The following is a 5,262-nucleotide window of genomic DNA, read 5'->3' as shown; positions in this document are numbered from 1 at the left end:
TTGTCTGGCGTGTCTGCGTGGACTGGTGACGTGAATCAAAATCATCCACTGAATTCCAGGGGCTCCATTACTGTCATCTCTCCTGTGTGCGTTGTGGACTTGGCATTCTTCTGTCGGAACAGGTTGCTCAGCAGATCAGCATCAGCTCGTGTCATACACAGAACTCAAAAGTAGAGCAAGGCCAGGCAAAGTAGTGGGTGTGAGCGGTGGCCGGAGGGAGTGAGCAGTGGCCGGAGGGAGTGAGCGGTGGCCGGAGGGAGTGAGTGGTGGCCAGAGGGTGTGAGTGGTGGCCGGAGGGAGTGAGCCCTGTACAGAGGGAGTTAGCAGTGGCCGGAGGGTGTGAGACCTGGATGGAGGGTCTGAGTGGTGGCCACAGTGTGTGAGTGGTGTCCGGAGGAAGTGAGTGGTGGCTGGAGGGTGTGAGACCTGGATGGAGGGTCTCAGTGGTGGCAGTAGTGTGTGAGCAGTGGCCGGAGAGTGTGAGTGGTGGTCAGAGGGAGTGCACGGTGGCCAGAGAGCATAAGTGGTGACTGGATGGTATGAGCGGTGGCTGGACGGTGTGAGCCATGGCCGGAGGTTTTGAGTGGCACCCGAAGGGTGTGGCCGGAGGGAGTGAGCTCTGGCTGGAGGGAGTGGCCAGTGGCAGGAAGGTGTGAGCAATGGCCAGATGGTGTGAGGGGTGGTCAGAGGGAGTAAGCGGTGGCTTGAGGGAGTGAGTGGTGGCCAGAGGGTGTGAGTGGTGGCTGAAGGGTGTGGGCTGTGGCCGGAGGGAGTGAGCAGTGATCAGATATGGGACCTGGACGGAGGGTTTGAGCGGTGGCTGGAGGGTGTGGGCAGTGGCTGGAGGGTGTGGGTGGTGACTGGAGGGAATGAGCAGTGGCCACAGGATGTAAGACCTGAACGGAGGGTTGGAGTGGTGGCTGTAGTGTGTGAGCAGTGGCTGGAGGGTGTGAGTGGTCGTTGGAGGGAGTGATCCCTGACTGGAGGGACTGAGCAGTGACCGGAGGGTGTGATTGGTGGCCAGAAGGAGTTGGCGGTGGCTGGAGGGTGTGAGCGGTGTCCGGAGGGAGTGGATGGTGTCTGGAGGGTGTACCACCAAGGACGCCTTTCTGATCGTCCTGCGTCCATGCTCAGTCCTGGATCTCCTCTTCCCTTTCTGGGTGTGTGTGGCTCTGGAAGAAGCTGGCTAACCTGACGAGGTTACCGCCCTACTGTCACCATGGAAGCATAGCGCCTCAGCCACTCTCCCTGGAGGAGCCTGGCCTCACACTCCAATCATTCCCCTCTCCTTCTGGGTTAATTTGAGGAATGTGGTCCCGCTCCATGCTGTGGGTCTGTGCCTCAAGTTCCCTGGCCAGGAAAGTACCTGCCTCCTCCAATACCTGAGGACCCCAACCCCAGGGCCTCAGCTGGGTGTCCTTGTAAAGGGTCCCTGGGGTGGCAGTTGCTTTTTTGACCAGAGGCCTGGCAGGAAACGGGCTTCACCACAGCGGATCTGGGCAATGCGAGGAGAGTGAAGACTGTAAAAGTCTCCTTGCGGCTGGTAAACCCCCCAGGCTGGGGCAGGGGGGTGAGGGGTCTGCTCTGGGGCCTGGGGAAGATGGTGTGTGGAGAGGACGCCCACCTGGGCTGTGGCTGAGAGGGGGACGTGGCCTGTCCCAGGTGATCCCAGGAGGGATCCTGGAGGAGAGCCCGGATCCACTTCCTCCCAAACTCCTCCCTCCCTCCAGGGCCACCTACAGAACCCCCTCCTGCCAAGGCACAGGTCAGGGGCAGCGGGCAGGTGGGGAGCGTCAGGAGGAGACTGACTCCCCAACTGCGCGTCCCCCTTGTGGGGAATCTGGGCGGCTGCGGGGCCCCCCACTGAAAATGAGGGGCTCTCGCCAGACCGCAGGGAGGTCGGCTGGGCGCAGGAAACAAGCAATGCCTGCACAGCCACAGACGCCCCCACGGCCATAGATGCCTGCCGGAGAGGGTCTGAGGTGCGGAGTCTTCAGATGTCCTGTGGCCCAGCCACTGCGTCTTTCAGATAAGAAAACTAAGACCCAGAGCTGTGAAAATGCTGGCACAGGGTCCCCCACTGATGATGGACTGGCGCTTGCCTCTGCATTCTCTCCCTCGCCACACTGGAATTGTCTTCAACAAGTTTTTATGGATAAGGTTATGTATGGTGTGGTCTTGGGTTCCGCCCACTCTCACAGGGATAAAGCTCTTGTCCCGAGAAACGGAGAGTCCCGGGGGCAGCTCCAGCCGCTCCAACCCTAATGTGGGAGGCCAAACTCCGGCACTTGGTAGTTATCTCACAGCTCTCCCAAGGAGATAGGAGCTGGGCTTTCCAAGAAAGCAATTGCAAACATGTACAGAATGCTAGAACAACATCCGTGAATCTACGCTGCCCCTCATTAATGGATGCTAACCTTTTTACCTTATTTCCCTCAGATTTTCTTCAACAAAAGAAAACATTACGGAGACATCGAAGGCCCCTTTGCGCCCTACCCCGCCACCTTTTCCTGCTTCCTCCTTCCTAGACAGACCCATCATGCTGAAGTCAGTGTCTCGTTCCTGTCTACACTGTCATCATTTTGTTCATCTGGATGCAGTTCCAACAGTATATCACATTGTTTCACATAGTTTGGAAATCTACATTATAAATGATATCCTACTTTACAAACCATTTTAACGGATTTTTTCACTTCGCTTTGTTTTCAATATTTCTCATTATTTATTCATTTTCATCTTCTGAAAGATACTCACATACATACATATATAATATATGTAAAGTATAATACATGTATGCAATTAGTTCTCTATATTCATGGGTTCTACATCCATGGATTCCAGTAATGTCAGATCAAAACTGTTTTAAAATCCAGCTGGGCACAGTGGCTCACACTTGTAATCCCAGCACTTTGGGAGGCTGAGGCGGGTGCATCACCTGAGGTCAGGAGTTCGAGACCAGCCTGGCCAACATGGTGAAGCCCTGTCTCTACTAAAAACACAAAAATTAGCTGGGCGTGGTGGCACATGCCTGTAATCCCAGCTACTCAGGAGGCTGAGGCAGGAGAATCACTTAAACCTGGGAGGTGGAGGTTGCAGTAAGCTGAGATCATGCCACCGCACTCCAGCCTGGGCGACAGAGCAAGACTCTGTCTCAAAAAAAAAAAGTATTTTAAAATCTTATTTACAACATCTTAAAGATCAAAACTTGGGTGTGCCGCAAGTCAAGTACTATGTAGAATCTGCAGAATGAAATGAGGTGTAGGTATTGCATCAGGTATTATAACTAACCTAGAGATGGTTAAAGTGTAGGAGAGGATGCACGTGGTTTCTGCGCACTATGTCATTTTATACCAGGGACTTGAGCATTTGTGGATTTTGGCATCCCTGGGTGGGGGGTCCTGAAACCAGTCCCCCAGGGGTACTAAGGGACGACTGCATTGTATTTTAAGTTCATTTTCCCTTTCCCTGGTTAATGAATATTTATTTTGCTTTTCTTTCCCTCCTTTCCTTCCTTCCTTCTTTCCCTGTTTCCAGCTGTTACAAACAATGCTAAAAAGAATATCTTTGCCTGTGTTTTCTTCTGCCCAAGTATGAACATGTTTCTGGGATTAAGAGACCAGGCCTGGAAACAGAAGAATTTGCTGAGCTGTAAAATCTGTATGGCTTAAACCTCACCGAACACTGCCCACCTTTTCTCCAAATGATTGTGCAATTTACATCCCATTTCCAAGAGCCCCCATTTTGATCCGAGAAATTAGAGCAGCGAAAACCACCGTCACTATGAGCACCACCCTGGGCCTGGTGCCCCCGTCCTGTTTTCAATAAACTTAAGCTGACCACAGAGGACACCAGGCCTCGGCCCCTCCCTGGGTCCTGCGGTCAGGCCCCTCCTGGAGACCCTGGCCCAGGAGTGGAGACCCCGGTGCAGGAGTGGCAGCCCTGGAGGAGGGGCTGGGTCCTGGGATGGAGCGAAGAGGAACATGGCCGCCCCCATTCTGGCCCAGGCTCCCCTCCCAGAGGGGCTGCAGAAATGTACTGACTAGGTCACCCAAGAAAAGATAGTACCTTTGTTAGGCTAGCATGCATTTTCCTCAGGGCCTAATTTCTCACTGAAGAAGAAAAGATTTCTCCTGTTGTCCATTTCTTCATGCAGCTCTTCAACAGCTGTTTCTCGAATGCCAATCAAAGCCACTGTTCTAGGGTCTGGGGCCACCTCAAGGCACTAGGAGATGAGGACTTCTGCTCCCATGCGCCCTCCCGTCTGCTGCAGGGAGGAGTGCAATGAATAAATAACCAACATAATGTGTCAGTCACTTGTTTTATCCACCAGGAGGTAATAAGAGCTATGAAAGAGAAAGCTCCGAGCAGGGGAGGGGAGTGAGGCATGGTACAGGAGAGCAGGAGGCTGTCCTCTAAAATACAGGAGTCCAGGGGACCAACTGGGAAGGTGTGGGAGGGGGAGGGAGGGAGCCCCATAGACACAGGGGAGTGAACCACGTTCACTTTGTCAGTTTTTGATGGCAGCTCGTATATACTATTTTTTTCTCCCTCCTGCCCCCAGCCCCTCCCAGAAGGAGACTTAATCTGTCGCTCAGGCTGGAGTGCAGTAGGGTGATCTCGACTCACTGCAACCTCCGCCTCCCAGGTTCAAGTGATTCTCCTGACTTAACCTCCAGAGTAGCTAGGATTACAGGCACCCGCCACCATGCCTGGCTAATTTTTGTATTTTTTTTTTTTGTAGAGACGGGGTTTCGCCATGTTGGCCAGGCTAGTCTCAAACTCCTGACTTTAAGTGATCCGCCTGCTTTGGCCTCCCAAAGTGTTGGGATTACAGGCGTGAGCCACTGCGCCAGGCCTACAATTTCATTATTAAAACAATTCCACTGTAAAAGAATTAGCTTAGGCCTAGACGGAATGGGCTTCATGAGCTCCTTCCCTTCCCCCTGCAAGGTCACGGTGGCCACCCCGTGAGCCACTGTTGTCACGGCCAAGCCTTTTTCCGGCCATCTCTCACTATGAATCACTTCTGCAGTGAGTACAGTATTTACCCTGGCGGGAGGGCCTCTCAGATATGAGTAGGACCTGGATTAAGGTCAGGTTGGAGGAGACTCCCATGGGAAAGAGGGACTTTCTGAATCTCAGATCCCTCAGCCAAGATGACCTCACCACATGTCGTCTCTGTCTATCAGCAAATCCTTCCATGTAGCTTGACCATGTCTAGGAAACACCTTTGATAAAAATCAGTGGAGATTATTGTCTCAG

At 53.1% G+C, this 5,262-nt stretch overlaps 3 annotated features.

Moving 5' to 3' along the window:
• Positions 1,412-2,402: an enhancer, noted in NCBI's record as "H3K27ac-H3K4me1 hESC enhancer chr21:43789597-43790587 (GRCh37/hg19 assembly coordinates)". NCBI's record gives its function as "activates a minimal SCP1, AML or CMV promoter by ChIP-STARR-seq in naive H9 embryonic stem cells {active_cell/tissue: H9 hESC(naive)}" and the evidence as "EXISTENCE:reporter gene assay evidence [ECO:0000049][PMID:30033119]".
• Positions 3,108-4,307: an enhancer, noted in NCBI's record as "MED14-independent group 3 enhancer chr21:43787692-43788891 (GRCh37/hg19 assembly coordinates)". NCBI's record gives its function as "activates an origin of replication core promoter dependent on BRD2, BRD4, P300/CBP and CDK7 cofactors, and independent of MED14, by STARR-seq in HCT116 cells {active_cell/tissue: HCT116}" and the evidence as "EXISTENCE:reporter gene assay evidence [ECO:0000049][PMID:35650434]".
• Positions 4,934-5,033: a silencer, noted in NCBI's record as "silent region_13342". NCBI's record gives its function as "represses an Ori minimal core promoter by ATAC-STARR-seq in GM12878 lymphoblastoid cells {active_cell/tissue: GM12878}" and the evidence as "EXISTENCE:reporter gene assay evidence [ECO:0000049][PMID:35858748]".

The sequence above is a fragment of the Homo sapiens genome, chromosome 21, assembly GCF_000001405.40.
Source record: "Homo sapiens chromosome 21, GRCh38.p14 Primary Assembly".
In the NCBI taxonomy this organism is placed as follows: Eukaryota; Metazoa; Chordata; class Mammalia; order Primates; family Hominidae; genus Homo; species Homo sapiens.
Note: the sequence above shows the minus strand (reverse complement) of the source record. Positions and strands in the feature narration are given on the sequence as shown.